At 42.3% G+C, this 27,712-nt stretch overlaps 1 protein-coding gene and 3 pseudogenes across 2 annotated transcripts, besides 3 other annotated features; 2 read left to right on the top strand and 2 right to left on the bottom strand.

Moving 5' to 3' along the window:
- PGRMC1 (progesterone receptor membrane component 1) lies at nucleotides 104–8,285 on the bottom strand. Of its 2 annotated transcripts, NM_006667.5 has the most exons (3): nucleotides 7,879–8,285; nucleotides 4,106–4,261; nucleotides 104–1,419 (listed from the first exon to the last, which is right to left on the bottom strand). In NM_006667.5, the coding sequence occupies exons 1-3, from the start codon at nucleotides 8,204–8,206 to the stop codon at nucleotides 1,316–1,318; spliced, it is 588 nt and encodes a 195-aa protein (NP_006658.1). In that variant the 5' UTR covers nucleotides 8,207–8,285; the 3' UTR covers nucleotides 104–1,315. The 2 variants fall into 2 exon arrangements, with proteins under 2 accessions (NP_006658.1, NP_001269550.1); NM_001282621.2 differs by lacking the exon at nucleotides 4,106–4,261.
- Nucleotides 7,673–7,822: a silencer, noted in NCBI's record as "silent region_20955". NCBI's record gives its function as "represses an Ori minimal core promoter by ATAC-STARR-seq in GM12878 lymphoblastoid cells {active_cell/tissue: GM12878}" and the evidence as "EXISTENCE:reporter gene assay evidence [ECO:0000049][PMID:35858748]".
- Nucleotides 8,223–8,482: a silencer, noted in NCBI's record as "silent region_20954". NCBI's record gives its function as "represses an Ori minimal core promoter by ATAC-STARR-seq in GM12878 lymphoblastoid cells {active_cell/tissue: GM12878}" and the evidence as "EXISTENCE:reporter gene assay evidence [ECO:0000049][PMID:35858748]".
- Nucleotides 8,513–8,562: a silencer, noted in NCBI's record as "silent region_20953". NCBI's record gives its function as "represses an Ori minimal core promoter by ATAC-STARR-seq in GM12878 lymphoblastoid cells {active_cell/tissue: GM12878}" and the evidence as "EXISTENCE:reporter gene assay evidence [ECO:0000049][PMID:35858748]".
- Nucleotides 8,857–22,064, top strand: NUDT19P6 (NUDT19 pseudogene 6; annotated as a pseudogene).
- Nucleotides 22,065–22,628: 564 nt separating this feature from the next.
- HNRNPA1P28 (heterogeneous nuclear ribonucleoprotein A1 pseudogene 28) lies at nucleotides 22,629–23,849 on the bottom strand (annotated as a pseudogene).
- On the top strand, nucleotides 23,852–24,565 carry NUDT19P1 (NUDT19 pseudogene 1; annotated as a pseudogene).

The following is a 27,712-nucleotide window of genomic DNA, read 5'->3' as shown; positions in this document are numbered from 1 at the left end:
TCTGCACTCAAAAATGAAACTGAATTTTAAGCCAAAGTAAAATGTCTGAATCAGATTCCCTAGAATAAGGTTTTTAAAAAAATTTAAATAAGTCACCACACTATAGTGGGTAAAACCATTTTTATTAACTGACCAAAGCACATCATTTTGTTTTCTGATTTGAGGTAAAATCATAAAACACAGTTCACAAGAAAATACAATGACTATTTAACCACAATTACAAGTTTGAAATCTCACTAGGTGTTCATATACTTTTACAAATTCATACAACTGTATAGTCTACTTAAGCTTAGTGTTAACCAAAAGAGCAATATCAAAGACCTAGACACTTGACTACTACTTTTGCAGTGGGTATAGTTTTATAACAACAGAATAACTGTTACCTTATGAATATACTTTACTTTAAAAACCACTTGACTAGCGACTGTACTGTTTCCTCGTGGTTCAGGGGTGTGCATGAAGGCTCTTAGGAGAGCAAACACCTGTTCCTATTCTGTATGTCCCTCCCTCATTTCAAATGAGAGTAACCAATTGAGTAAAATAACCAAATAACCATTGCCCCACCATGAACATGGGGCTTGGGAAGACAGTCCTACAATCTTCATCATATATTTAGGTTTTTAGGCCAGCCAGCTCTTTTTTTCCAAAGCTTTCTTTTGAATGTTCAGATCCTATTTTAATCCTAACTATAGACTACTGTGTTTGTGAGGGTGTCTGAGTGTCTATGTGAGGGCAAGGACAACAGTGCAGTCCAGAAACACAGAAAATATGCTTTTTTGCAGCTGAGCTCTGTTTTGAGATTTCATTTTGTTACTGGACAGCGCTTAATCCATACCAAAGTCTTTGGAACACTGCAGATTTGCTTTAGAGGTAGATAAAACAGAAATCATGCAGTTAAGTCAATTGAGAAAAAAAAAGGGATTTGTTGTCTTTACAGAACATCATGACTAAAAGTTGATCCTTTGCTCTTGGTGCACATTTAAGATTTTTACCTGTTTTGGGAAATACCCAAGTCTTCCTTGTCTCTCAGGAAAAACACATTTAAATTCATCCTGTACTAACTACAGATAGAAGAAAAACAGTATTAACATGTGTATTACAGCACTGCAGTTCACTTTCTGGATTTGTGACACACAAACACATCATGCATTCTAAGAAGTTAATTTTATTAGTGTCACTAGTGATGTTAATTAAAAAACTTATAGCAAGTGCTCAAAACTTTCTAAATATTGTAATCACTATGTTTTAAAGACAGAGTGGACTGTTACAAATGATTTTGCAAAATACAAAAATAGATATACTTCCACTGAATGCTTTAATCATTTTTCCGGGCACTCTCATCTTTTGGTTCTTCCTCATCTGAGTACACAGTGGGCTCCTCCCCCTCCTTCAGCAGTTTGCCCACGTGATGATACTTGACTGGAGGTAGAGAAGAAAACACAAATGGTCATTCTCATTCTTTCTAAAACATCATTACCACGTTTCAATTTAAAGCATTTATTAGAGGCCTGCAATATACTCAGCAATGTGTTGGGCTTCTTGAAGGATACAAAGGTGGTTTATACCACCGTCCTTGCCAACAGGGAATTTGTTTTGTTCAGAAGACAGACATATAAAACAGGTGGCAACGTCTGGCAATGAGTGTGCAAGGTAACGTCAAAATGAATTGTTTGTGTGTAAGGAATGTTTAGAAGAACAAGGGCAAGTGATGAGTTCATCAGAAGGGTTACAGAATACTTCATGGAAGGAGGATATATTTTGGAAAAATGTATAGAAGGATTTAGGGAGGGAGTTCCAGAAAATGCAAACGCCATGTACAAATGCATACAGGTGAGACAACGTATCTGGGAAGCAATGAAGAGACCAAGTTGGCAGGAGTAGAGTTAACATTTAGAAGTTAGTAGGAGATAAGATTGGCTAAGTAGTGTGGGGAAATATTATGAAAGATCTGAAAAGCCAGCCTGAGTTTGGACTTATAGGTGGCAAAGGGCACTGAAGGTTTATAAGCGAAGGAATGACACAGTAAAATAGTGCTTTAACAACGATATTATCAATGTGGTGTATAGGGCAGATTTCAGTAAGGAGAGACTGGGAACAGGGCGATCCAGAGGCAGAGTGCAGATCCAGATGCAAAGGAACCAGCGCCAGGAGCAGGGTGGTGTCCAGGGGAATGGAAAGGGACAGATGAGAAGTACTTTGAAAGAAAACTGGAAGCATGAATTAATTAAGTGAAAATTGGAGCTCCCATGGACCAAAATGGGAACTCTGTGGAGGGAGCCATTCTGGAGGCTCACATGACAGGAGATCTAAAACATGGAATGGACAAGTGAAGTCAGGATTGGCAAGAAAAAAAAAAAAGGTTTCCCTGAAAATCTTTCAGAAAGAGAGTTCAATCCAATTGTGGGGATAGAAGCCATATTGTAGGGAGGAAGAAGGTATAGAGAGGAAATGAAGTAGTGGTTAGGAATAAAAACTTGTAAGAAGTTTGTTTGACAGTGAAAGGAAGGAATAATAGTCTCATAGATGAAGAGGAGAGCAAGAGACAGAACGTTTTTCCCAGCACAGAGAAAAACCTATGGGTGGTTAAAGGAAGTGGTAAAGGAGCCAGGAGATGACTGGAGGTGTTGGAGAAAACAGATGTAAGGGTGCAAACCAGAATGCAAAAGACTTGAGAAGAGATGGCATCAGCAAACCACCTCATCACTGTAGCCAAACTAATGCAGGGTCGATCATCTGAATGTCCAAAGCCAAGAGTCTCCTCTTCCTGAATATGAGTAGGAATTAGAGGAGTAACCAACCTGTCTAACCAGGTAACTAAAGCTGCTTTTGTGTGAAATAACCGTTGGGAACAATTGGAACTGTGTGAGACAAATAAAAGCCAGGTGGCTCCTGGGAAACCTGCCTTAAGGGGAATCCACACCAACTTTAAGTGTAGCTGAGGTGTCACAACAGCATCTGGGGCTAGCCTTAAAGTGGAAAAAAAAAATCACACTTTTTCTCCCACTGATGAAGGCAAGCCCTAGAAAATAGAGCTTTGTAAGTTAGACACTACAATTCACTGGTTTCATATAGAAAACTAATTACAAAGGCATCCTTATGATGCCAAAAATTAGGGACTCTATTAGGTAACTGAACTATGTTTTCCAAAGTATAAAAACTTGCCTCTAGACTTGGAAGTTATATGTAGCCTGCTTGAGACCAAAACTCAAAGGCAGAGACACATCTGGCTAATTATTAATCCAGAACTCTCTCTGAAGTCAGCATTATTTTCAAAGAAAATGGTTGGATATAGCCAAGAGAACATGTAATATTTAACTGATTATAGAGAACACACATAGAAAACTACATTTTAAATGAAAAATCTTCAAATAATGCTCATGGTCTTTATATACTGTTTCATAAAAGCTGGGAAAGACTCTTATTCAAATTCTTGGCAGTGAAATATTGCTAGAGTGACAATTAAACAGTTAGATTTGACAGAAACCAATTCCTGAATTCTCAAAATCTGAACTTAACCCCTCATTCCTATTTCTCCCCAAAGACCTCAGCCCATAGCATAAGCCAGAAACAAGCATCTCCTTTTTACTTTCTTTTTAAAAATGCAGACACCATTGCTGCTGGGCACATTATAAGCATCATTTGTAGATGAGGCCTATAGTTAGGTTCAATTAGATTCAAAGAGAAGCTGTTTCACAGAATACAAGTCTCCCATTCTTCAACAGAGATGTGGGCTGCTTTTAAACGGCAAGCTCTACAAGAGAGGGCTTATGAAAATCCCTTTCTGTAGCCAAGATGGACACTGTCCTTTCCCTGACACACCAAGCACCAAATCCTCATTTGGAATCTAGCAAATCTCTCAAAAATTTTAAAATCAAAACCAGAAACCCAAGTTTCCATAGAGAACTGGCTAAAAATTGGTATGCAATCATAGCAAGTGACTCAGCACTGCTACAATTACTTCAAGCCATGAACTTGATGCGTCCAAGATTAAGGAGCCTATCAAAATGCACCCAAGTTTCAGGCTGCTTAGTAATAACTATTGTCCTGCCACGAATCCCCATTACTGGTAGAAATTTGACCCAGACACAATTTTAAAAATGCTTACAAGTGAACTGAGACTCCCAGTCACTCAGAGTCTCCTGCTGGGCAGCAGTGAGGTCAGAAAGGTCATCGTACTCATCCTTCAGTGCTTCCTTATCCAGGCAAAATGTGGCAAGGCCCCTGGATGCATCTCTTCCAGCAAAGACCCCATACGGCCCCTCTTCAAAAACAAAACCAAAGATCAATTCTTTATTAGACAGTCAATTTCTCTGTGATTTATACACAGAAAATGGCTTCCCTATTCATCAACATAGCCCCATTTTTGAATATCAAATTCCATTAGGAAACCATAGTAATGCTGATATTCTGAACATTATGTAGGAGACACAGAAAGACCTGTTGTCATTTAACTTTTAAATAACTAAAAGTAAATCAAACTGCTATACATTTGCGTCAGTCTCCTGTGGTTTCCAAATAGCTAGTAAAAAAGTCATACGTGGTTAGTGATCTCTTGGGGTAGTGGTAGTAGGGAATCATACAAGAACATTGAACTGGGAGCCTGACAGTTCTAGGCACTTGGGGCTACACCAGTGAGAGTTATGGTTTCTTAAGATAATAAGCACTGATGTGTACATGAAAACACATTTCCTTATGAATATATTCTGATATGTTTTAATGAAACAAAGGTATCTTATAGAGATCTTTGGTTCCAAGGCTCAATTAAACATTAACTCATGGCATCTGCAGAAGAACCATTTTATAACAGTATCGGTGGTTTAAAAATCTATCCACATTACATAACCTTCACTGTCAATAAATAGATAACACAGAGATCAGTCTTCATTATCTGTTTTTTGGTGGGCTTGAGAAGACTGTGAAAATACTAAAATTTTCATGGAAAAGAGGCTGAATCAATACTGCAAAACAACTCTATAAAACAACTCTATAAAATGTGATTATTTGTGATATTATACTGAACTTTTGTCTAAGAGAGCAGAGAATCATTCTGTGGGTACACAAAGTGGATATTTAGACTTATTTAAATATTGCACAACTAAATGAAGAGAATCCAGTGTACTTTAAACAATGTGTTGTTTCCCCCAAGGCAGATTGAATAGCAGCCCTGACATTAAAATGTTTGTAGGGAACCAAGTATGAGAATAGATCAAGTTTCAATATGGCCTGTTCACCTGAAACCTCAATACACTCAGAAATTTTTTACAAATTTTACAACTTTTAAATGCAAGTAAAATTCCAAAGAAAAATGCTTATTTTTAATCATCATTACATGCTGCCACATTCACTAAAGAAGGTAAAAAAAAGCCCACATTTTTCATAAATGTACACCCCTAGTGGAAATGGCAGCACCTAGTGCTTGAGAATAGGCAAATGCAATGGTTTGAACCTTACCATTTCAGAAATTATGGTCATTGGCTTGGTAGAGTGAGTCTTTACCAAGCAAACCTCATAGAATATTTAAACATAGAATATTTAAACCTCATAGAATATTTAAACATTTAAACAATTAAATGTTCTCTAGTGGGAACATTAAAAGTCTTTTAAAAATACATATTATTCAGTGCAACATATATTCACTAGAACGTAAGCTCCATAGGCAGAGATTTGTGTCTGTTTTGCTCACTGCTATATTCCCACATCTACAACAGTGCCTTGCACAGAATTAACAGGCACTAGAATGACTAATTTTTAGGAATCCTTTACAACATGAAGCATCACTTTCTACCAAGATGTCACGTAGTCATGGGCTCACTGAATGACAGTGCAAGATAGAGACAGAGATCTCACAATAGGCCATCTTTATCACTTTTCAGAGGGAAAACTAAGGCTCTGAGAGAACAATGCTTTGCACAAGGTCACACAGCTAGTCATGACCCAATCAGGACTAGAACGCAGGTTGCCTGACTCCCAGTTTTGTGCTCTGTGCACAGGCTGACATCCTCTCAATGACTCTGCAAACTACAGTCATGATGATGCCTCATGCACATGTTTTCACTCCTTTAATATTGAGCTCAATATTAACAGGTATTTACATGATTATGTTTATTGATAAAGCAACTATGTGTGCTACTCTAAGTGACAAATAATGTATGTGGTTTTCAAATGATTTTGACAGTTACATGCCTATAGAAAGCAGGTATTCTAAAATATCCACAGGCCCGGTGCAGTGGCTCATGCCTGTAATCCCAGCACTTTGGGAAATGGAGGTGGAAGGACTGCTTGCGCCCAGGAGTTCGAGACCAGCCTGGGCAACACAGGAGGGAGACCCTGTCTCTAAAAAATAAATAAAATTTATTTTTTATAATAAATAAATGTCTGCAAGAAAAAACTGAGCTCCTTAACCTTAACACATCTGATTTTGATCAGTTGGACTGGGAGACTAAAATGAATGCCTGAGTTTGTGTACTGCCTTCTGTACTCTTCCCTCTCTCAGGCCAGTGTGGAATGAGCACCGTCCATGTGGACATCCTCTAAGCTCCCTGTGTTTAGAGGAGTCCATATTGGAGGAGCCAAAACCTCTTCTTCCTCATCTCCAAGTATTCTATAAAGCAGGACTTTGCAAGCCTGGCTGCTTTTCAAATTCGCCTGGGAAGCATATTAAAATACAGACTCCCGGACCACCCGAGACTCATTTGCAGCTCTGGCGGTTAGACTGGGAATCTGTATTTTTCCTCAGATGCATCAGGTGATTCTGATACGCAACCAGGTTTGCAAAAACCTCGCCTCTAAGGAACCCATCAGGCCTGCCTTCTCCAACAGCTCAGCAGTGCAGCAGTCATCCATTCTTCATTTCCCTCTGGTTGGCTTTTCCTGATATCCCCCCACCCAGCAGTCTTCTTAGCTCTACTCCTTTTGTTTCTTGGTATCCTCCCACTTCTCCCTCCCTCCATTTTAATTTTTCTTGGCTTCTAATCCTTTCTCTCCTGCTATAGACTAAATACCATATTACCTTAAAAGCTTGCCACGTTACCATTGTCCACCATATTCAGCCTTTATTCCTCCCTCAAACAGCCCCCTTCCTCCTTGTTCACCTTCCAGCCTTTCCCCATCTGCCACACACAGCACAAGCGCACACAGACCAAACACATGCCACACACATACCTGACGCATGACCCATTTCAAGCGCGCATGCACACACCACACACACACACCCCTGATAAATCACATACACTAAACACGCACACACCGCGCATGCACACACCACGAGTGCACACACACATCACTATCCACCGGGCACAAAGCTTTTACCTGCTGCTAATCCCGTCTCGGCGTTTTCTCCCACACCCTCATATTTCAAACCTACTCCCGGTGTCATTGGCCTTCCCGTCTTCTCTAGGTCTGGACCTTTTCTCACTCTCGCCCTCCCCCATGCCTCCCTCGGAACACCCTCATTTCCTTCCTAGAACCCGACACTACCCCCTCCTCCTTCCAGGAATCCCCAAGCCCAGGACCTTCGAAAACTACCCCAACAGCCTGGGCTTTGATGTGTCCCCCCTCAACGCCTTCGAGCTTCGTGGTCCCACCCACCCCCGGCTTAAGCGCCTCAGCCTTCTTTCTCTAACCCCCTCCCAGCGCTGTCAGCGCGGGCCGGGGATCCGCGTCCCTGACTGGCCCGCAGCCCCTCTAGAGCGCCTCTTGTTCCCTGCCCGCCCCGGGAGCCTCCCGGCTCTCCGCCTGCCCGCCTACCCGCCTACCCTAGCTCGCCGCCATTCCTCCCTCCACTCAGGGGCGCCCCGCTCCCGCCTCGCCTCTCTCCCGCCCAGCCCCGTGCCGGGGCCCCCTTCTTTTGTCTCCAAGCCCCCCTCGCCGGCCGCGTACCGGGCCCGTAGAATTTGCGGCCTTTGGTCACATCGAACACCTTGCCGTTGATGGCCATGAGTATGCGCGGGTCCTGGACGCCGTCGAAGCGCCGCAGCTCGGCGGGGGTGAAGTCGCGCCGCTTGAGGCGGGGCAGAGGGGGCGGCTCGTCGTCGTCGCTGTCGCCGCTGGCCGCCGGCTGGTCCCCGCGCACGATCTTGTAGAGCAGGAAGATGCAGAGGCCAAGCAGCAGCAGGTTGAGCGGCGACGTGAAAATCTCATGCAGCAGCCCGCCGCTCTCCAGATCGCTTGGGTCGGCGCCAGTCGCCACCACATCCTCGGCAGCCATGATCTCTGGAGTAAAGGTTGGGCCGCGCTAGGCAGGGATCCGGAACTCGCCACTTTCTCCTCCCTCTGAGCGAGCGAGTGGCGCGCGGGGTTCGGCGGCGGCCAAAGACTAGCCGGGGAGGAGGCGGGGCCTGAGGGGCGGAGCCTCCAAGCCCCGCCTCCCCCGAGGCCACCTAAGCGCCCCGCCCTGCTCGGTCCCGCCCCGCAGCCCTCAGGCCCCCTCCAAAGCCTCTAGAGTCCGGCGCCGCTCCCCCGCGGCCGCGCGGTGCCCCCCTCAGTTCTACCTGGGAGGCCCCAGCCCAGCCTCACGCCATCCTCGCGCCATCCTATAGCTGAGCGCGACGCACGCGCTGCCCTCCTCTGAACCCCTTTTTTGCTCCTCGCAGACCGACCCGTTGGGAGGGCCTCGGCATTGCCGGGCTCTGTGCGAGCGCCCCTCCGCCACCTGATGCGCGCCAGACACCGACTCCCTTTCTGTTGCTGCAGGCTTTTCCCTGCCTCCCATTCTGAAGCCCCTCATCTTCCCCCTGCCGTTCCCGGGCCCTCCAAGCTGTCTTAGGAGACAGGAAACTCATTCTTCGAACTCCATTTTCTATGTTAGAGCCCTACACGACTCATTTTCACCTTGGGAACCCCCATTCGCTCTCCTTGATGGCCCTTCCCCAATTCTCCCCCAGATGCTGTGGGACCGACACCCCCGGGATTGCTAAAGTCAGTGCACAACTCTCCCTATTATCTGGGGAAACGAATCTGATCGCCCAGTTAACTTTGGGTTTGTTCTCCGAAAAACCCTTTTGCAATTACTGATTTGCTCAGTCACCAGGCATTAACAAGCAACGTTCTCTTGTTGCTCTTTTTTCCCCCCTCAGAATAATGTGAAAGTTTCTTTGTTTGGCAGCGTTCTTCTATTTGGAGTCTGTCAGGCTACCCTTGGCAGTCACAATAACCCTGAGCTGGAGCCCAGACAAAGGCGGGAGTTTGGAAGGATCCTAGGCCTGGTCCCTTCCTTTCCTAGGTATTTCATCCGGCCTTTGATGTGCTAACAGGCTGCACAGAAGCAGACCTCCACGGAGGAAGGGGTTGCCTCGTCCTAATCTGGCCCTTTTTCTGGTGGCGGGGGGAGGGGAGGAGAAGAAAGGATAGAGAGGGAAACAAATAATTAAAACCAAGCCGTGCACACATCTGCAGCCCAGAGCAGTACTTTTCCACCAAGTGTTCTGTTGGCTTGCACATAACTTACTCCTCCTCCCAACACGCAAGAGACTTGAGTAAAGATTGGCTTCCTACCTCAGAATTCTAAAAATTTCTGGCAAAAACTGCTTCCATCCCTGCCCCCCACATCTTCTTAAATCATTATAAAGTGCAATGAGCCAAACAATCTTTGTATCGGGCCCAGGCATTTTTCTCAGAGCTAAATTTGGGATTAGCTGAAACAGCCCCTCCAAATCTTTTGTCAAAACTCTTCAATTTAATCATGGAGAAACAGGCTCAAACTGAGGGCACTTGTCTATAGTTAGAATCTATCTCTTTTAACATGTATGGCCAAGAAAATTTAGAAAGCTAATAAACTTATAAAATATTTTCATTTGCAACTAATATGACAAAGGGTTAATATTTATTTGAGAGATCATTTGGATTGATAAGAAAATGTATAAGATTCTAGTCAATAAATGGGAAAAAATAGGAACAGGTAGTTCACAAAAGAGAGCATGCCAGTGGTGAATAAGCATATGAAAAATGTTCAGTCTCATTAGTAACAAAAAGAAAAGCATGGAGATGCCGCTGTCACCTACTACTTTTCTACAGGAAAGATAAAAGGGAAAAAAAAAAGGATAACACACTATTGGCGAGAGAGTGGTGAGACTCACATACGCTGTTGGGTATAACCTTTTATTATCCATAAAAATATTTTCTATCCATTAATCCCACTTCTAGAAATCTGCTCTTTGACCTAGTAATTCCATTTTCAGGAATCCATCCCAAGGAGACAGAAACGCAGACAAATATTTCATTACTAAGATGCTCAGCAGAGATTCATTTTTAATACAGAAAAACTGGAAACAACCTAAATGTCCGACTTCAAATAAAATGGCGAATTAATTCACTTGAATTGTGACAAAACCATTAAAAGGCCATTCAAATATCATCATTCTGGAGTCCTAATTAGGGAAAGGGAATCAGGCTGGTGGGAGCATGAAATAGCAAAAAGAAAAAGCAAATAAGCTACAAATCTCCCTTTCTTCATGACCAAGATGCAGCCTTCCTGCGCAAATAATTCACAATCTTCCCATGCCCAGCTATCACCAGACACCTGTAAGTTAGCTCATTGCGACCTTGGCATTATCAATATTACACAAAGACCTCTTCAACAGACAGCATAAACGCCATCCTATAAAATTTCCAGCAAGCCTTTGTCTCCTGGCAGTTGGCTTCTCTCTTGCAGGCTGCCCTTTGTCTCTCTGACAACATATTTTCCTACTTTATCTAATAAATCTACCTTCTTTTAACTAAAACTGTTTTGGTAAATTCTTTTACCAAAAATCATGACATGGCAAAACGCTTGTGTTTTAATCTTGAGGGAAAAACAGGATACAAAACTATATACAGTATGAACTCAACTATGTCAAAAAATTCATAAAACAAAGCGTGGAAAGAAATATGCTAAAATGTTAACTGTTGTGATTGTTAGTTTCTTCCTTATACCTTTCTACATTTTCCACAATGGGCATGTGTCACTTTTAACCTCAGGGGGGAAAATGGTTTATTATTTATTTTCTGAAAAAAAATGTAGAATGATAATACATGTTCACTATAACAAACTTAAACAATACGTGAGTGTATAAAGTAAAAAATGAAACTCCTTTCTCCCTCTCCAAGTTCCCCAAACAGTACTTAAATCAGGCCCATACATTAGCAGTTTGGCTTATATTCTTGCAGACATGCAACATACACACACACACACACACACACACACACACACACACACATTTTGTTTTATAAAACTGGGGGAAATTTTATATAATAAAAGTTTTATCATTTTTTTCCAATAAAGAGAGACACAGAGTAAAAAAACAAAACAAAAACCAAGCCATTAGCTCCCCACCCAGATAACCCCTGCTGGAATGTTTTTTCAAAGTAATATTTGTCTAAAGTTAGAAAATTCAAACTATGGGAAGATATAGAAGACAACTGAAGTCCCTCTCCTCACTCTTGATTCTCTTTCCTCAAAGGTAACCGCTATTAAATCTGGGGAAAGTGTTTTCATGGAGGGATGGGGAGGATTAATAATTCTCATTTATCGTAGTCCAGTGTCTCTTCTGCTACACCTCTGTGTCCCCTTGGAGGATAATGGATTAAAGGAAGTCCTGCTTCACAAGGAGGGTAGAAAACTTGTGCAACTTAAGACCTCAAGAAGTGATACAGTTTAAAAATATAAATGCTTGCAAACCAGATTTGATGTTCAATAAAGTGGGCTATTAGCTAACACTGGGATGTAGAGATTGTTGAAGAAAAGCATCCCATCATTCAGGCTCATGTCAGAATCAATGCTGAGTGGAATGGTCTCCTCCAGGGTGGCAGTTCTCAAGTTATCTGGAAATAAGCAAGAGTGCTCCTGAATAAAAAGCCCCCTTCAGAACATGAGAGTTGCCTTAATATGCTCTTTGGCTCCAAGTCAATTCCTAAAGCCGATGTACTTGACCCAAGGACTACTTATTTCCCAAGATACATGTTAAGTCTTTTAGTGTTTTCAAACTTTCTGTCTCCTTTTAATTATTTTCAAAGGTTTTAAAGAGCTTTCAGAGAAAAATAGAACAATTGGCTGATTAGCTAGAAAATGTTTGGGAAATAATTCAGCCTAGTAAGGAAGCAAATAAATCCAAAGGAACATAAAAACAATGCACCATTTCTCATCATTCAAATGACTGGAGTGTTCTTTTTTCTCTTGTTTCTTGGAGCTTTTTAAGAATGGTAATACTTGGTGTTGGCAAGCACAGAGTAAAACAAGCACTCTGACACAATTGGCAAGAGTGAAATTGCTAGAATGCAAGATTCATTTTGTTCACCAATGTATTTCAAGCCCCTAGACCATGTCTGGCACATAGTAGGCATGCAATAAATATTTGTTGAACTTAATTATATTGTAAAAGGGTCTAGGCTTTCTAGAAAGTCCTTTGGCAATATGCAATAAAAGCCTCAAACTATTCCTAGCCTGTGGCCAAGAAATTTAACTTCCAGGAATTTCCCCTAGGGAAGTGTTCAGAGATGTGAACAGAGATTTGAGTAGAAGAATCACAAAGCATGATACATGATAGCAAAAAACTGGAAACAGCCTAAGTATCCAAAGATGCTCCCCATCTCACTCAGAGTAAAAGCTCAAGTCCTTATAGCACCTACAAGGCCCTACAGGATCTGCGGTACTCTACCCACCCTTACCTTTAAGACATTAGGATCTCACCACTTTCTTCCCTGGTCACTCTACTACAGCTACAGTGGCCTCCTTGCTGCCCTTTGAACAAGCAGCCATATTTCCAATTCAGGGCCTCTGTACTTGTCATTCCATTTGTCTGGAATGCCCTTCCCCAGACATTCTCATGGGTCATTCCCTCGCTACTTTCAAATCTCACACCACCTTCTTCCTACTCCTCATCCTCCTTCCCTGCTTCATTTTCCCCCATTGCATTTACTGCTTCCTTATATACAGTATCACTTCTCATTTTTTTTATCTCTTCCAACTTGAACATAAGGCGCACAAGAACAGAGGCTTTTGTCTATATTCTTCACTGTTGTATTCCTTGTGCTTAGAATAGTGCCTGGCATGTAGTAGGTGCTCAATAAATATTTGTGGAATTGAGTTTGAATATGGAAGCCCATTATGTTAAATACCCATGCACAGAAAAAAAAATCTGAAGGAAATGCACCTAAGAGTTATCTCTGGGTTGTGAGATTATAGGTAATTTTTGCTATCTTCTTTATCCAGTGAATATAAACTCTTTTTATTATTGTAACAAGCAATAAAAAGTTTAAAAATTTAAAGACTAGAAAACAAAATTCTACAGTTGCCAACTATGTCTTGAGTGATAGTATATGGATCCACATTCCCAATTTCAGAGACTGGAGACTTCATGCTGAGATTTTAAAGAGACCCCAAAGGAACCTGCCCATCTACATCCACTCAACCAACCTTGATTGAGCTCTAGCTCCATGCTAAACTCTGTGGTGAGCCTACGGATGCAAAGTCCTTTCCCTCAAAGAAGGAGCTCACAGTCTAGCAAGGGGAGACAGACAGTCAAAAGGTTACAGATGCTGCGGTTGAGGTCTCCACATGGTAAGGGGGAGGTTGGCAAGGGATGGTGGGAGGTGTAATCTAGGAAGGTTTCATACAGGAAATGACATTGAGCTGAGTCTTAAAAATTTTCATGGCACCAGTTAAGCCTATCAGTAAAAAAAAAAAAAGAGAAAAAGAAAAAAAATTCACCAAGTGGACAAGGAAGGGGATAAATTTTCTGGGGAACCAGTAGTTGTCAAACTTTAGTGAGGATCAGAATAATCTGGAGAGGGGGAGGGCACTTATTGAAATGTCCATTCCTAGGACCAGCCCTCAAAGATTCTAATCCAATAGGTCTAAGGGAAAGCCTGAGAATCTTTAGAAATAGCTGACATTGTTTGAGCACTTATTACTTGCTAGGCAATGTTCTAAGCCCTTTTGTGGATTAACTCGAGTACTCTTCCTAAAAGGCAGTTGGTTATATTATCCCATTTCACGGCTGAGGAAACAGGTACAGAAAAGTTAAGGAACTTGTCCACTGTCTCACAGCTAGTAAGTGGAATGTCAGAATTCAAATATAGTGAGTCTGCTTCCAACCTTGGCTGTTTACCATTAAGCTATTTGACCTGCATTCTAACATGTGAACAAGCACCCCAAGTGATTCCAATCCAGGTCAGAAACACTGAGATAGAAGAAGCAATCTGGGGCCGGGTGCAGTGGCTCACGCCTGTAATCCCAGTGCTTTGGGAGGCTGAGGTTGGTGGACTGCTTGAGCCCAGGAGTTTGAGACCAGCCTGGGCAACATTGCGAGACCCTGTCTCTACAAAAAATGCAAAAATTTAGCCGGGTGTGGTAGTACATGCCTGTAGTCCCAGCTACCTGGGAGGATCACCTGAGCCCAGGAGGTCAAAGCTGCAGTGAGCCATGATCATGCCACTGCACTCCAGCCTGGGCAACAGAGCGAGACCCTGTCTCAAAAAAAAAAAAAAAAAAAGCATTCTGAACAAAGGTACAGAGGTGCAAAACAGCATGTCCCATTCTAGGAAAACCTTCTAATGACTCCCCATTGTCAGTGAAATCAAGTCCAGAGTCCTTGGCATGATTTACCCAACTGTGGTGTGATACCTACCCAGATTTCACTTCCCACCCCCACTTCAGGACTCACGCACTCATTCTCCCAGGTCCCCAACTGCTGAAAGTGTTGGTGACTGACAGCTTGCAATGAAATCCTCTTCCTGAGATTGCGCTGGGCTAAAGAGAGCTTTCTAGCCCAAAGTCACAGATCCTTCTTAGTGCAGCCTGCAGGTAATGAATGGCCAATACAGGGATATAAAGGCCTGTCTCCCTTTCCCCATCTAAGGACAACTCCGAGGAGTCATACCAGGCTCAGAGCTCCCTGTGGGATTCATGGAAGCTGCATTGTGACTGCACTGAAGCTCAGCTTCTCCCTCCACCCGATCCTACTCCCTTGTCTTACATTTCAGGTGTAGATCCCAAGAGCACTATTGAGTCAATTTTCTACATAGTAAACTCCATCACAGAGTCTCTTTCCCAGGCAACTCAACCTTCCATGATCTGGCCTCAGATTACTTGTCCAGCTTTATCTCTTTCTACTTTCTCCTTACCCTCAACACTCCAACCATAATGAAGCTAGGAATGATGTGGCCAGTGTCACAGCTAATGTGTATTTACTGAGTGCTATGAACACTTTACATGTGATTCCATTTGTCTGGAATGCTCTTCCCCAGATATTCTAATGGGTCATTCCCCTTCCTGCTTTCAAATCTTATTTATCTCACAAGTGAGGGTCTATTATCATCCTCTTTTCATAGATGAAAAAAACCAATACATAGATAGGTTAAGCTACTTGTCCAAAGTCACACAATTAGTAAGAGGCAGTGCTGGGATTTAAACTCAGCACTCCGGCCCCAGAGCCCATGCTTTACATGAGATCATTTTGCTTTTTCAAAGTGTCATGCTCGTAGGAGCATGGAGGTTGCAATTGGAGGGGTGGAGACTAGAGCAGGGACACCAGCCTTACCGCAGGAGAAAATGAAGGCTTAAATCAATGTTGGGATAGTGAGGACATAAATGCAAGGGTAGATATGATAAATATTAAGGAGGTGGATGAGACAGAGCTTTGGATTCCTCCTCTATTTCTCCCATTCCTTCTACATCTGACTTATGCCCCCAATTTTTGCATGGGTGGATGGCGTATCATTCATCAAGAGAAGATAAGTAGCAGGAGGAGCAAACTTGCAAAAAGGACATTGTATGCAAATGGGGATTGTGTTTTAAAGTGTGGTTCATAAACCAGAAGCTTTGGCATCCACTGGGAGCTTGTTGGGAATGCACGATCTTGGGCAGTATGCCAGACATACTGAATCAGAATCTCCATTTTAACAAGTCTTCCAGATGATTCACATGCACATTAATGTTTGAAAAGCACGGGCATAAGGAGCATTCTGGTGGGGATATCCAGTAATATGTCCAGTTGGATATTTGGGTTTGGGGCTCAGGATGGAGGTCTAGACTGGAGGGGTAAAGACAGGAGGTAACAGCCTATGGGTGGTAGCTGAAACCACTGGCATTGAATTAGATCCCAAGGAGAATATAGGGCAGAGGTCTCTCTCTTTTCAAGGCTCATTGCACAATGTTCTAAGCCAAGGTTGAAAATTGTTAGCCTTGGTGACTACAGCTGGCTCAAGCACATGTTTATTTGACCCTCACATTATTTTAATTTTTAAAATATTAGATGTAAGCAGTTAACCAACAGATTTTTACATAAAACCTGTATTTCTGACATAAAAATGTTCTCGTAAAAAATGAGAAGATCACTTTGGGAGGCCAAGGTGGGAAGATCACTTGAGGCCAGGAGTTCGAAACCAGCCTGGCCAACATCATGAAACCCTGTCTTTACTAAAAATACAAAAATTAGCTGGGTGTGGCACGAGAATCACTTAAACCCCAGCCTAGCCAACAGAGCAAGACTTTGTCTCAAAAAAAAAAAAAAAAAAAAGAGAGAGAGAGAGAGAGAAGATCTGGCATTATATCTCTGATTAGCAGCTGCCTCCTTTAGCAGGTACACCTAAAGAAGCCCCACTTCTCCCTGCTGTATCCCCAATGCTGAGAATAAGTATCAGCTGTCTTTTATCACATTTGCTCTGTTTTTGTTAAAGCAGAATTAAGTGGATAATCAAAATTTTTTTGTACCTATGACTCTATCAAAAGTGGAAAATGAAAGATAACAGGGTTACTATTTCAAAATAAAAACAGGGCAAGATCACATTTCTTTGTGATTTCTGGCATATACTACATTGTCACACATCAACCAGACTCGCATTACTTACTCATATGACTGGCCTGACATTTATAGGCAGGTTGCAGAGAGAAAAAGAGGGCCAAGATAGAGTCTTGGGAAGATTAACATTGTAGGAATAAGTAGAGGAAGAGAAACCCACCAAGGAGATTGAGAATAAAAACCACAAGTGGTAGGAAAATGGCAGAATAATGTGGTCCGATAGAAGCAAAGGGAGGAGAGAGGGTTTCCAGGAGGGAGAGGTTTACAATGCCAAGGGCTGTAAATGGATCAAGAAAGATGAAAACTAAGGTGTAAGTTGGACTAGGCAGTTAGGAAGTCCTGGGTTACCTATGCCAGACTCTTTTTATTGTGGCATGAGAAGGGTGGAAGTCTGGTTCCAGTGGCCTAGGGAGTGAGTGGAACATGAGGATTGAGGAGATCTATCTCTCAAAAAAGAAGTTTGAGAAGCTTGACTAAGGCAGAGGAGGTAGGGAAAAGAGGGAATTGGATTCCCTGGTTTGATTTTCGTTCTTCTGAAAACTATCATAGACTTCAGTTGCAGCAAGATAGGTAGTAAGGCTTAGAGGTTGAAAATACAGGACAGAGTGGGTACTTTTTTTTTTTTTTTGAGATGGAGTTTTGCTCTTGTTGCCCAGGCTGGAGTGCAGTGGTGGGATCTCGGCTCACTGCAACCTCCGTCTCCCGGGTTCAAGCGATTCTCATGCCTCAGCCTCCAGAGTAGCTGGGATTACAGGCACCCGCCACCACGCCTGGCTAATTTTTGCAAATTTTTTAATAGAGATGGAATTTCGCTATGTTGGCCAGGCTGGTCTTGAACTCTTGACCTCAAGCGATCCACCCACCTCAGCCTCCCAAAGTTCAGGGATTACAGGTGTGAGCCACCTCACCCCGCCCAGAGTGGATATTAATCAAACCTGTGGCATGGAATGAGACAAGAGAGGATGAAATCGAAAGAACAGGTGGAAGGATCATAGCTTCTCCTTTAAGAGGAGAGGGAGAGGGAATTCAAACCTGACAGCTTCAATGCTTTCCATGAAGTAGGAGGCAAGGTCAACTGTGAGGGGAGCAGAATGGGGAGAGAGAGGGAAACAGCAAGGGCTTGAGTGTTGGCCAAGGCTAATATTTTTACCATTCCCTCCATAGGGGCTTTTGGAAACAGGAAGAAACAAGAGAAATACAGGCATTATGTTGCCTAGGAAACACAGTGGTTTGCTAAAGCAATAGTACGTTCTTTCGAATCTTATTAACCCTTTCATATCCATTGTCACCTCAAAGAGAGCTAACTGGTGAATAGGGATGGAAGTAGAGAGAATTTTGCTCCATAGAACACACAGTGGATATCCTCTTTAGCCTGAGGAAAATATGAGGGTAGGGACAGAAGACTTAAATAAAATAGGAGAGACCAACAAAGAAGTGGCAGGCAGTAAGGTGTCAAAGATATTCCCCTATTCCCTTGTGCTTGTATGTGCCCCAAACCACACACACACACACACACACACACACACACACACACACACACACACTCACACTCTCTCTCTCTCTCTCCATCCCTTTGCATGTATACAGGAGCGATCCCACTTTCCCACCAAGCAGAAATATCTAGGGTTAATATCTAGGGTTAATATGTGGGAATTATCCTTTCCTTGATTTTTCTTTTTTTGGTATGGTAAGATAATCTAATTGAAAATGAATTGTCTTCTGTTTTTTTCTGCTATAAGTTCATCGCTAAACAAAATTTGTCTTTCTCTCTTTTACTCTTGCCACAGAGGATGGCCAGGGCTTTGTGACAAGGAGATCTGAACTTTACTTATGCCAGGAAGAAAGTAGAGAGGACTTTGTTTCTAAAAAGTCTCTAGGTTATTGAGAGCTTTGAGCTGAACTGAGAGTGAAGGTCTCTGAGGGTGGGGAGGAGGGGAGTGTGGATCAGCTATATGCCCAAGCCTAGGCACATATTGTGGTTGGGAGGCAGTGTCCCAGAGTGTCCAGGATCCATGTCCTGGTCTGCACACCCGCACCCATGACTCCCCAGAAGCCCATAACAGAGGGTGTGTAAATTCTACTGAGGAAGCCTTTCCCTCCAGACTCAGTTGTCCTCCCCAAGCTGATGCTGGTCCATCATTTTTCGTGACTTTAACATCAATGTGGATGACCCATCCCACACCATGACCTTCCACTTCCTTGACTTTCTTCACCTCCAACCACCTTTTCCTCTACCCCACATTAGCCACTCTCTCTTGGTCATACACTAGACCTTTTCAAAAGCCCAGCTGTGATTAAACCCAACTGTTCCCCCATTCCCTAGCTGCACATAAACAACTGAATATTGTAGTAGAAAGCACAGTACTCTACTTGCTGGTCTCACTTGAAAAAAAAACTATGGAAAAGAATCAAAACTGTTTTATTCACAGATGACATGATCATCTATGTAGAAAATCCAACGAATTCTACAAAGAAGCTACTAGAACTAATGAGTAAGTTAGCAAGGCTAAAGGATACAAGATTGATATATAAATATCAATTTTATTTCTGTATTCTAAATATTCAATAGCAATGAACAATCAGAAATCAAAATGAAGAAAGAGACAATAACATCCACAACAACATTAAAACATCCACAACAACATATTAAACATGAAATAATTTGGGACAAAAAGTATATGATTCCATCTATGTAAATGTCCAGAAAATGCAATCTAACATATAGTGACAGAAAGCAGGTCAGTGGCTACCTGGGGATAATGAATGAGGAAGAGCTCACCTGAAAAAATTTCACTAAAATTTACAAGTGAATTATGCTGTACAAGAATTATACTACACAGTTGTGCTCGATTTTCTCTCCCACTGTCATTCCCTGTGAGGACTCTATGACACCATTTTCACTGTCTACAAACCTTCAGTGTCCCCTCTCTATTCTTACTTTCAGCTGATGATATTGCATTTCATTTCTTTAAGAAAATAGAAACAATTAGATGTAAACTATCATCTCCCTGCCATCAAACCCAACAAACCCTACCTGCAGCTGTATTCTCTGTTTTCCTTCTTGGTACTGTGCAGAGAATGTCTTTACTCCTATCAAGGGCCTTCCCCTTGAACTCTGCATTTATTTGCCTAATTCTCAAAACCCTGGCTCTCACAGTTTATCTTCTTCTCTCCTTGATCGTACTTATGAGCAGATAAACATGCTTTAGTGTTTCTTCTCTTTTAAAACACCTTCCCTGGGGCCAGGCCCCGTGGCTCACGCCTGTAATCCCAGCACTTTGGGAGGCCAAGGCGGGCAGATCACTTGAGGTCAGGAATTTGAGACCAGCCTGGCCAACGTGGTGAAAGCCTGTTCTCAACTAAAAATATAAAAATTAGCTGGGTGTGGTGGCACCTGCCTGTAATCCCAGCTACTTGGGAGGCTGAGGCAGGAGGATCGCTTGAGCCCGGTAGGTGGAGGTTGTAGTGAAGCGAGAGTGTGCCACTGCGCTACAGCCTGGGCAATGGGAGAGAAACTCTGTCTCAAAAAAAAAAAACAAAACGAAACAAAATAAAACAACAACAAAAAACCAAAACCAAAACCAAAAACCTTCCCCTAACCCCAAATCTTCCTAGTAGCTACTCCCCTGCATTTTCTGTTCCCTGTGTATCCAAACTTCTACAAAGGGTTGTCTATATGTATCATCTCCACATTCTTGCCTCCCATTCTCTCTTCTACTCATTCTACTGGGCTTTTGCCTGCATCACTCCTTCAATGCCATTCTTGTTTATGTTCTGATTCCATGGACACTTTTGTAACTTTGTCTTTGGACTCTGTCTCTCAGAGTACAAAGTACACTCAGAGCACTTTGTACACACAGTACAACATTTGATGGAGTTGATCACTACACCCTGAAATACTTTCCTTACTTAGTTTCTGGGATACATCCCACATCCTTTGATGGTTTTTCTCCTTTCTTATTCACTACTCCTTCTCAGCTGCCCATACCATTTTCACCTCCTTTGCCAAACTTTTAAATGTTGGAGTGTGCCCCAGATACGTCCTGGGCCAGCATCTGGTCTCGTTCTCTGCTCAGGTGATTTCATTCAGTCCTAATGTTTTTCATATACTTAAGACTCACATATTTAAACTTTGTATGAAAGACAAAAGGAAGGAGAAAAAAGCATAAAATAAACTTTTTACCCTGGTCTTACCCCTGTACTCCAGATTCTGTATACATTAGGCATACTTGACATCAATAGGTATCAGAATATTTACATGTCCTAAACAGAACTTTTAATTTCATCCTTGTATTAGTCGCTGTTCAGTGGTGAGAAACAGAAACTGCTTAGTTATTTAGAGGAGAAAAGGATGGGACACAGGGAATTAAGAGCTTACAAAAATCAGTGGAAAGGCTGGAAGAACAGGCTATAGCCTCGGGCTGTAGGAATGACTACCAGGACTCTATCACTAAATAGGCCCATTAGGGGTACTGTGACCTCTGCCCTCAGACAGAAAAGTGGGTCATCAGGAAGCCTCCGCTAGGATGATTGGCTTCAAGAATAGAACAACGCCCAGGACCTCCCCGCCCGGCCCCGCGCCAGAGCCCCGCCTCGCCCTCCAGCCGCAGCCGGGCCTGGCCGCCTGCTGCGCCCGCTTGCGCCCGGGACCCGCGCCATTTCCTGCGGCTGTGCGCGCACCTCGACTGCACGCCCGATATCTGGGCGCTGCACCACTGGAGCGTCTGGCTCACCCCTTTCTCGCGCCTCGCAACTCGCCTCTTGGACGCGGCCTTCTTCCTATGCTGCCTGCGCGAGCCGCCGCCAGTCTACTCCGACTTGGCGGAGGTGGTGGGCTGCCAGTGGTCATCTCCATCAAAGGCAACTGAAAGTTTCTTATCAAAAGAAATTTGGCTGGCACCCCCACAGTTCTACGAAATGAGAAGACTTGAAAATTTTGCCTCTCTCTGATTTGCACAAATTTTGTTTGGATCGTGCATTAGAAGGACTGGAAAGATGGCTGCCGATCACCTTGTTAACTGCTGATGGGATGCTCTAGCTTTTACCAGGTGATGAGCTATACTTAGAATATTCAGACTTTTTAGAAAATCTTTTGTCTGCTGAAAAAAAGACTGAAGAAATCATAAAGGAAGGCAAGCAATTTCACTGGAAAGTGATATACAATCGCCATCTTTATGATACTCACGTGACTGTTCAAAGTATAAACACGTTTATCCTAAGAACTCCGTAGTAAGAGCCGTTTGTAGGGTGCTCATGCTTGTTTGTAAACTGGTCTATTTGAAGTCCTTGTGAATAATAAGGGTTGAATTTCAACTTGCTTGAAACTTAAGGAAGTGTGTGCCTATAAAAGTTATACGGCTGGGTGCGGTGGCTCACGCCTGTAATCCTAGTACTTTGGGAGGCCGAGGCGGGTGGATCACTTGAGATCAAGAGTTCGAGACCACCCTGGCCAACATGGTGAAACCCCGTCTCTACTAAAAATACAGAAATTAGCCGGGCGTCATGGCACACGCCTGTAATCCCAGCTACTAGGGAGGCTGAGGCGGGAGAATCGCTTGAATCCGCGAGACGGAGGTTGCAATAAGCCGAAATTGCACCACTGCACTCCAGCCTGGGCGACAGAGGGAGATTCCATCTCAAAAAAAAGGGGGGGGGTTTATTATAATGCAGTGTTTCTAATTTCAGGGAGCTCTCTTGCTTATTTTATTTATTTATTTTTTTAGAAAAAGACCTTTATTCAGCATCACGATCAGACTGTTATATTTAGCAATCAACAGCATGGGTGCAAAAAAAAATCTACATTTAAAACCCTTTGTTAGAATGCTTTATACTTTCCGCAGAACAGAAACTAAAATAACCTGTTATACAATTAGTCGCAAATACAGTTCTCGAGTTTTTTGCCCATATACATGAGTATTTGTCTAAAACATGTCTTCATTGTAGCAGCTAGGCCCTGCCACCACTGTGCTTGGCTGAGTTCACAAATCTGTTGTAACCTGTAGCTTCCCTGGCACTTCTCTGGCTCTCCTCTCCTGCTAAGCTTTGTTTCCTAATTTAAATCTTCTGCCACTGCCACAGCTACTGCTGCTACTGGAACCGCCATAGCCACCTTGGTTTCATGGTTTGGCAAAGTATTGGCCTCCACCATCATAGGGGCCAGAGCTTCTGCCTCCAAAATTTCCTCCCTTCATGGGTCCAAAATTTGAAGACTGATTGTTGTAATTGCCAAAATCACTGTAGCTTCCACCACCTGCAAAATTGCTTCCATCATTACCAAATCCATTATAGCCATCCCCACGCCACCATATCCACCACCACCACCACAGCCGCCACCAAAACCACCACGATCACTGAAGTTTCTTCTATGACCAAAGTTGTCATTCCCACTGAAACCACGTCCAAGACCACCACCAAAGTTTCCAGAACCACTTTGTCCTCTTTGGCTGGATGAAGCCAGTCGCCATCTCTTGCTTTGACAGGGCTTTCCTAACCTCACAGTTGTGGCCATTCACAGTATGGTATTTCTGAATGACAAGCTTATCCACAGAGTCATGGTCGTCAAAGGTTACAAAGGCAAAGCCCCTTTTCTTGCCACTGCCTTGGTCAGTCATGATTTCAGTCACTTCAATTTTTCACTGTTCAAAATAATCTCTTAAGTGATGTTCTTCAGTATCTTCTTTAATGCCACCAACAAATATCTTTTTCACAGTTAAGTGGGCACCTGGTCTTTGAGAATCTTCTCTTGAGACAGCTCTCTTTGGTTCCACAACTCTTCCATCCACCTTGTGTGGCCTTGCATTCATGGCTGCATCCACCTCCTCCACAGTGGCATATGTGACAAACCCACAACCCCTGGAGTGCTTGAAGTTTGGATCTCTCATTACCACACAGTCCGTGAGCATTCCCCATTGCTCACAATGGCTCCTCAGGCTCTCATCGGTTGTTTCAAAGCTCAACCCTCCGATGAAGAGCTTCCTCTGCTGTTCAGGCTCTTTAGGAGACTTTGACTTAGACATGACGGAAGGGAGAAGAGAGACTTTAACGATGCTTCTTCGGCGGCGTCCATGGGCAGAAAGGCCCTTATTTTATTCTTTAAACCTTACAGTGTGCCACATGTATGAGGTTTGTAAAGTATTAATGATCTTGTTAACCAAAACAAGAAAAAAAATTTCACAAGGGTTCCCACTTCTGTATTGTTTTATTATCTCAAAAGTTTAAATAAGATGTTCTGCTGCTGTTGTTCTTGATGTCCACTGTTTTAGCACCTTCCCTGATGTGCTTAGGAAGTTGATCGATGAATTTCTTAGACTTTCTGTTGGAATTACTTTAAGGGTGTCTTATTAGATGGTGAAAATTAGACTGAGACACCCTTCAAGTGACCATGTCATTGTTTTCTTGCTATGTCTTTAGCTTGATGATTAAGATACAATTCTTTTAAAAACCAAATAGCATTAGTTATGTTTCCCAAATTAGAAATCTATTTTAGTTAATGTTTTAAAGAAACACGAAGCCATAGCAAAAATCATTATTGTTTTTACTCCTGAGTGTTAATGAATGTAAAGAGGTTACAGATGTAGTGTTTAATTAATGATGTTTATTTTTTCTATATTTAACATAAGTAATTTTTCATTGTCTTTAAAGAGGAATGTTTATTGATTAAAGGTGAGAAATGATAGTTAAGACACCAATTCTGTGTCAAGATCTTTGACTGTATTATGCATTGTACAATTGACTTCATTTTTCATGAAATGCCTTAGTTTTCCTACTATAAAATAAAGACAATGATGAATTAAAACAAAACAAAACAAAAGAATAGAACACCATACCTGCAGCCCAGGGAAGCTGAGCCACTACCACTGCCACCATAAACTGACTCTCAGCAACCATGAAACTAGAGACTGAGACATGGAAACACTGACTTAGGTTGCTGCAATTATTGCAAAAGTCCCTTGACTGCCATCTCTGTCTCCTCTGCCCCCTCCTCAAACTTGCATATACACACACACACTCCAGCCAACACATAACACTTGGTATGTGCAAAGCACTATTCCAAGTTCCATTCTTATTACTATTATTATGCCATTTTACGGAGGAGTAAACTGAGGTAGAGAGAGGTTAAGTAGCCTAAGATTACAGTTAGTGAGTTGTATATGCTATTATCTGCCCTGCTCTTATCTCTGAACATTTCTTTGTCAGTTTTCCACGTATCTAGAATTCTTCATGAACATATTTTTAATGACTGTATAAGATGCTATCATATGTATTTGCCACAATTTATTTGGCCATTCTCTTATCTTGCATATTTAGATTTATTTCCAATTTTTCTTTATGAACAGTAACTGCAATGAGCACTCTGCATACAAATTATTTTGCCTATTTCTGATCATTTTCTTAGGATACACTCCTTAAAATTCAGCTCTTGGGTCATAGGCTATGAAGATTCCTAAAAACAGTATTTGAGGGTCAGCAGTTGTGAATATTTTTAATCCACTTGAGTATATTAATGGGCATACCAACCAGTAATATGCAAGAGTACTCGTCTCACTGTACCCTCCACACTTAAACCGGGCATTTTCATCTTTTCAAGTTTTTGCTATAAGTATGCTGCATGTAATATTGGCATGCTCATACTAAAAATGTGTTCATTGTTTTTCTGAAATTCCAACTTAACTGTGTCTCCTGTATTTTATCCAGTAACCCTACTTGATGTGGATGTCCAAACTCTCTTCTTTTTTGAGGTATTCCTCCATTGTGAGCCTGGAAAACAAGGCTGAGGCCTCTTACTGTGGAAACTAAGGGAAGCACATATTCCCTCTCCACAAGCCCTGAGTGGTCAGGGAGTCCATAGGGGACCCAGGCTCTTACTGAAGACTTTGGATCTTGAGAGGTTTATACAAAAAGTGGCCATTTTGAATTCATTCATAGAAACTGCATCTAGCAGACCAGAATGTCAGATCAGTAGAGTCCAGATGTAGCAGTGTTTTGTGGTGGTGGTGTGTAGAGGCAGTGAAGGTGGTTGTTGCCAGTAGTGACATACCAACCAAGCTGGTCCTATGGCAAATCTTGACTGAGGTCCTCCCATGATTCCTGATCATTTCTTTATCCTGGTTTACCTGCCTTTCTGTTGATTCTGTGAAATGCCCAATAATTTGCTAAATTCAGCCAGAGTCAGTTTCTGTCTTTTGCAACCAAGATCCCTGACATTTATAAATAAAAGCCCAGATAGGCTGGAGAAAATTTGAAATCATGATATTTCCAAACTCCTTTTGTATTCCTAAAATTGGAATTTTAAAAATTCTCCTCACCAAATGACTGTTGTTCAAGGGAAAGGGATTTGGCATTTTCCAAAATAAGCACTAGATGGTGCTATGAGGTAATATGTTCTTGATTGTGTCGTTGCCCAAATAATAAGGATTAAGATCGCCAATAACACTATCACCAAGGATACTGTCAACAAGAATAGCTAAAATTAATTGAGTGCCTCATATATGCCAGAAACTGTTCTACATGTTTGATAGAGTTGTAAACCAAAAATAAAATTCTAACCCCCCAACGAACTGATGGACTCTCCCCTCGGCTAAGTGAATTCCAAAGCCAACTTGAAAAACTAGTTCAGGCCATGATGGGAAGTGGATGTCAGACATGCTTCATTATAACCTTCTCCATTTTGGAATTCAGGCACAGCTGACCAGCATTAATATCAATACAGAGACATTAAGACTGTTAGAGGCCAGGCGCAGTGGCTCACGCCTGTAATCCCAGCACTTTGGGAGGCCAAGGCAGGTGGATCACCTGAGGTCAGGAGTTCGAGACCAGCCTGACCAACATGGTGAAATCTCATCTCTACTAAATACAAAAAATTAGCTGGGTATGGTGGAGCATGCCTGTAATCCCAGCTACTTGGGAGGCTGAGGCAGGAGAATCACTTGAACCCGGGAGGCGGAGGTTTCAGTGAGCCAAAAGATTGTGCCACTGCACTCCAGCCTGGGAGACAAGAGCGAAACTCTGTCAAAAAAAAAAAAAAAAAAAGAAGACTGATAGAACAGACTCTTTAAGTTTGATAAGAAACATTTACAATCTATTCTCTCTGAAGCCTGCTACCTGGAGGCTCCATCTACATGACAAAACCTTGGTCTCCACAATCCCTTATAGTAACCTAGACATTCCTTTCCATTGAGTTCAAGTCTTTAGATAATAACTCTTTCAACCAATTGGCAATCAGAAAATCTTTGAATCCGTCTATGACTTAGAAGCAACCCCCTCACCTCTGCCCCTGCTTCCAGATGTCTCCACTTTTCCAGATAGAACCAATGTACATCTTACCTGTATTAATTGATATGTCTCCTTAAAATGTATAAAACCAAGCTGTAGCCCAACCACCTTGGGCACATGTTCTCAGGATCTCCTGGGGCTTGTGTCATGGGCCATTGGCCACTCATATTTGGCTCAGAATACATCTCTTCAAATATTTTACAGTTTGACTCTTCATTGACAGAGTGAACTCATTTCTTACAACCAATAAAGCAAGTAATTTTATTAACACATTTTACAGAAGAAGAAATCAAGGCACATTCAGTTTAGCTAACTTATCCAAGATCAGAAAATCATTTACTGATGAAGATAAGATTTGAACCAAAGAAGCCTGGCTCCAGAGGCTGTACTCTGAACCAAAATGCTCTACTACCTGTCATAATTATATAATATAGCCAACATTTACTGATGGTCAACAGTGAGCCAGGCATTTTGCACAATGGAGTCATTATTGTCATTTTCCATATGAGCGAACTGAGGCTCCAAAAGGCTAAGTAATTCATGTTTCCATAGACACAGAGACAAAGCTGAGAGCATTTGTAAATGTAATTCCATGATGTTAGTAATGAAACAAAAATAAATACATAGATAAGATACTAATGTTTGTCACTTTAGAGAGTAATTCCACT

The sequence above is a fragment of the Homo sapiens genome, chromosome X (assembly GCF_000001405.40).
Source record: "Homo sapiens chromosome X, GRCh38.p14 Primary Assembly".
Classification (NCBI taxonomy): domain Eukaryota; kingdom Metazoa; phylum Chordata; class Mammalia; order Primates; family Hominidae; genus Homo; species Homo sapiens.
This window is presented reverse-complemented; position numbering and strand designations above follow the sequence as displayed.